Raw genomic sequence first — 2,781 nt, forward strand, 5'->3', positions numbered from 1 at the left:
TAAGAATCTAGGTTTGATCTAGTAGATATCATATCTAGTAGATGTCATATCTCAACAATAAAGGGTCTGAAGAATAAATATTAATATTTAGGCCTAAGTTATTTTTTAAAATTCATAATGTGTCTGTCCTGTTTTGCTTACTGAATTAACAAATCTTTAAAGAAAACCTTCATATATTATAGCGATATATTTATACCACAGTGATATGATTTATTGAATGTGAGAGAAATTCTCACACTCAATTTTAATTTTCTTAAAAAGAAAAGATGGGAAAATGTTACAGTATTTAAATAGTGAATGCTGGGCGGCGACGGCGACATGGAGAGCGGGGCCTACGGCGTGGCCGAGGCGGGCGGCTCCTTCGACCTGCGGCCCTTCCTGACGCAGCCGCAGGTGGTGGCGCGCGCCCTGTGCTTGGTGAGCCCGGGGAGGGCGGGCCGGGGGCACCCCGAGGACCCCCCCCGCCGCCAGGCCCGGCGGGACCCCTAACCCACGAGCGTGACAGGTGGAGGCGGCCGCGTCCGGGCCCTGGCGGCGAGCGGGGCGGGCATTTAGCGTCCCGGGCCCCGCCTTCCCGCCCTCCACAGTCTTCGCCTTGATCGTGTTCTCCTGCATCTATGGCGAGGGCTACAGCAACACCCATAAGTCTAAGCAGATGTACTGCGTGTTCAACCACAACGAGGATGCCTGCCGCTATGGCAGTGCCATCGGGGTGCTGGCCTTCCTGGCCTCGGCCTTCTTGGTGGTCGACGCGTATTTCCCCCAGATCAGCAACGCCACTGACCGCAAGTACCTCGTCATTGGTGACCTGCTCTTTTCAGCTCTCTGGACCTTCCTGTGGTTTGTTGGTTTCTGCTTCCTCACCAACCAGTGGGCGGTCACCGACCCGGAGGACGTGCTGGTGGGGGCCGACTCTGCGAGGGCAGCCATCACCTTCAGCTTCTTTTCCATCTTCTCCTGGGGTGTGCTGGCCTCCCTGACCTACCAGCGCTACAAGGCTGGCGTGGACGACTTCATCCAGAACTACGTCGACCCCAGTCCGGACCCCAACACTGCCTACGCCTCCTACCCAGGTGCATCTGTGGACAACTACCAACAGCCACCCTTCACCCAGAATGCGGAGACCACCGAGGGCTACCAGCCGCCCCCTGTGTACTGAGTGGCGGTTAGGGTGGGAAGGGGGACAGAGAGGGCCCTCCCCTCTGCCCTGGACTTTCCCATGAGCCTCCTGGAACTGCCAAACCCCCTCTTTCACCTGTTCCATCCTGTGCAGCTGACACACAGCTAAGGAGCCTTACAGCCCGGCGGGGGCTGGCCGAGCCACACCCCACGTGCCTGTGCCCAGAGGGCTTCAGTCAGCCGCTCACTCCTCCAGGGCACTTTTAGGAAAGGGTTTTTAGCTAGTGTTTTTCCTTGCTTTTAATGACCCCATCCCCGCCTGGAGTGGCTAGAAGCCAGCAGGCACCCATGTGCTACTGACAAGTGCCTCAGCTTCCCCCCGGCCCGGGTCCGGCCGTGGGAGCCGCTGTTACCTGCGTTCTCTGCCAAAGACTCGTGGGGGCCGTCACACCTACCCTGTGCAGCGGAGCCGGACCAGGCTCTTGTGTCCTCACTCAGGTTTGCTTCCCCTGTGTCCACTGCTGTATGATCTGGGGGCCACCACCCTGTGCCGGTGGCCTCTGGGCTGCCTCCCACGGTGTGAAGGCGGGGCTGGTGCTCATGGCACTTCCTTCTTGCTCCCACCCCTGGCAGCAGGGAATGGCTTTGCCTGACAACACCCAGCTTTATGTAAATATTCTGCAGTTGTTACTTAGGAAGCCTGGGGAGGGCAGAGGTGTCCCATGGCTCCCAAACTCTGTCTGTGCCGAGTGTATTATAAAGTCGTAGGGGAGATGCCCGGCCCTGGGATGCTGTTTGGAGATGGAATAAATGTTTTCTCATTCAAAAAAAAAAAAAAATTAGTGAATGCTTTTGTAAAATAGCAGCCAAACCAAGACCAAAATGTTTCTTTAGTGTACTTTCATGCTTAATGCTGACAGATAGCATTGTTTGAACTCACAATCAATTTTTTATATATACCTTTTCATTACAAAACAAATAATATTCATGGCAGAAAATGAAGAAAACCAAAAAACAAAAATAAGATAAGAAATTTCACCTGAAATCCCAACACTTAAAATGCCATTTAAAATATTTTCCCAAGTAGCCCCATTTTTTAAAATGAGCAAATTAGCTTCCCACTTAACTTCTTTCACTTAATACTAAACTGTGAATAACTTTCACAGTGTGATTTTCATTTCTGAAATTGCCCAGCTTCTAAGGCCCACTGCATGCAAGGAATTTAGCTAAAACACATAGTCCTTGAGGAGATGACAGTCTAGAAGCAGAGACAATATACACTGTAGTTAATGACAGTTAAAATGTCCTTAACAAGATTAAAAACTCGTGGGAAAAGAATGAAATCCTGTCATTCACAGCAACATGGATGAGCCTGGAGGACATAAGGCTAAGTGAAATAAACCAGGCACAGAAAGGCAGATACCACATGATCTCTCTCATGTAGCGTCAAAAAGGTTGATCACATAGAAGTAGAGAGCAAAACAGTGATTACCAGAGCCTGGGGAGGGGAAACAGGGATGGGAAGAGGTTGGTCAATGGGCACAAAGTTACAGTTAGACAGGAAGAATAAATGCTGGTGTTCCCGTCCATAGTACGATGACTACAGCTAATAACAATGTAGAGTATATTTCAAGTGAGCTAATAAAGAGGATCCTGAAAGTT

General features: G+C 50.6%; 1 pseudogene; it reads left to right on the forward strand.

Moving 5' to 3' along the window:
- SYNGR2P1 (synaptogyrin 2 pseudogene 1) lies at positions 304 to 1,944 on the forward strand (annotated as a pseudogene).

Source organism: Homo sapiens, chromosome 15, assembly GCF_000001405.40.
Source record: "Homo sapiens chromosome 15, GRCh38.p14 Primary Assembly".
Lineage (NCBI taxonomy): Eukaryota > Metazoa > Chordata > Mammalia > Primates > Hominidae > Homo > Homo sapiens.